The 1,849-nt window shown below is 55.2% G+C and overlaps 1 pseudogene; it reads left to right on the top strand.

The window, feature by feature from the left end:
- Nucleotides 250-1,562, top strand: ZNF646P1 (zinc finger protein 646 pseudogene 1; annotated as a pseudogene).
- The last annotated feature ends 287 nt before the right edge of the window (nucleotides 1,563-1,849 follow it).

Below are 1,849 nucleotides of genomic sequence, written 5' to 3'. Positions count from 1 at the left end.
TACCATAATACTTGTTCTTCCTATTGACTTCCCACTGAGTTGCAAGTGACATGCAACCCCTAAACCTGAGTCCCCAAGAAGGATGATGAGGCTATGGAGTGAAGGTCCTCAGCTGACTCATGTTGGATCTGTAGGGTAAAAAGAAATGCCTTTGTTATTTTAAATATTGATATTTGGGGAATGTTTGTTAATTGCATTACAATTTAACTCTGTCCAGTATAGGCATGTGCCACATAACAACATTTTGGCCAAGGACAGGTGGGTGGCCAGGAGGTGGGGGACTGGGGAATCACAATGTAGGCTGGGTTCCTCAGTTCCTGACCAGGCCAGAGGAGCCAGATGACAGTGTCCCCAGGAGTCCTTGGCATGCCAGTGACAGCCAGCTCAATGGACCTAGTCTGAGTCACATGGATAGCTGGATCAATGGAGACAATAGCTCTCAGCTGCAGCCAGGGAGCCACTCCTCCTGCAGCCAATGTGGCGAGACTTACTGCCAGCCAGGTGACCTCTTGAACCACAACACTCACAAGACAGACCAACACTATTGCCTGCTCTGATCCAAGGAGTTCTTGAATCCTGTGGCCACGAAGAGCCACAACCACAACCACACAGATGCCCAGACCTTTGCCTGCCCTGACTGTGGCAAGGCCTTTGAGTCCCACTACAAACTGGCCAGCCACCTCTGCAGGCTCATGCCAGGGGCCACAGCCAGGTGCCGGCCCAGATCGAGGAGGCCAGATGTCCCAAGCCCGGGACTGGGGAGGACGAGGTGGGCCTCCGTGGTCAAGGGAAACCCTGGGAGGCTCCATTAGAAACACCAGGAGGCCCAGGAGAGAGTGCGGAGAGAGCTAGAAGAGGATAAGGGGTGACGTCCACAGTAGCTGAGGACAAGGAGCAGCCCTTCCGCTGCGCCCAGTGCAGGCCCTTCTACTGCCAAGCCGGCAGCCTGCTGACACACCAGAAGACCCACACCACAGGGCTGTACCCCTGCTCCCGCTGCCCCCAACCTGCTGTCTTTTAAGAACCACAGCAGGATCCACGCGAACCGCAAGCACCACCACTGCAGCATCTGTGGCAAGGCCTTCCGGTCAGCTGCCCGGCTGGAGGGCCACGGGCGGGTCCACGCACCCCACCCCGGGAGGGGCCTTTCACCTGCCCCCATGGTCCCTGCCACTTCTGCCACAGAATCGGCTTCGTGCAGCACCAGCAGCAGCTCCAGGAGGAGAGGACAGTGGCAGGCTCTGGAGCCCCAGTGGCACCAGCGGCAGGCAGAGGGGACTTGTCATTGCCCCCTCCACCCACTCCCACGACCCCACTTCTGGGCCCTTAACCCCAGTGGCCTGCAGACCTCAGCTTCTCCCTCAGAACTTCAAGTTTCCAAAGATCAGAATCTGGGGGAGGGGGCGCGTGCAGGGAGGGGCTTGATCTCCACGTTTTCTCAGGAGCAGTTTGGGCTCCCCATCTCTTCTCCCCTCCCCTTGTGAAGAGGACCCAGATCTGGCTTCTTTCCCAAGAAGAGGGTGGTGTGCTCTTCGCGTCCCTGTCCTTGAAGGACCTCCTTCCCCCAGCCTTTGTCACCGTACTCTTCCCAGTGCCCGCCTCTGCCGAGATGCCAGGCCACCCTCACCAGCCAGATTGCAACACGAGGGAGCCGGGATGCAGAGTGCTATGGGTGGGAAAGTTGCCTGTGGAAGGAAGCCTTTTGCTACAATTTGTAACTTATTTTTCTAAAGTCTATTTTGTAACAATTTATTTAAGTTTGAAAAAAAAACAAAAATTGCTGCCCTCCCAAAAAAGAAATTTTCAAAACAAAACAACAACAAATATATATATATCTCAAGGTAGTCCC

Source organism: Homo sapiens, chromosome 13 (genome assembly GCF_000001405.40).
Source record: "Homo sapiens chromosome 13, GRCh38.p14 Primary Assembly".
Classification (NCBI taxonomy): Eukaryota; Metazoa; Chordata; class Mammalia; order Primates; family Hominidae; genus Homo; species Homo sapiens.
This window is presented reverse-complemented; position numbering and strand designations above follow the sequence as displayed.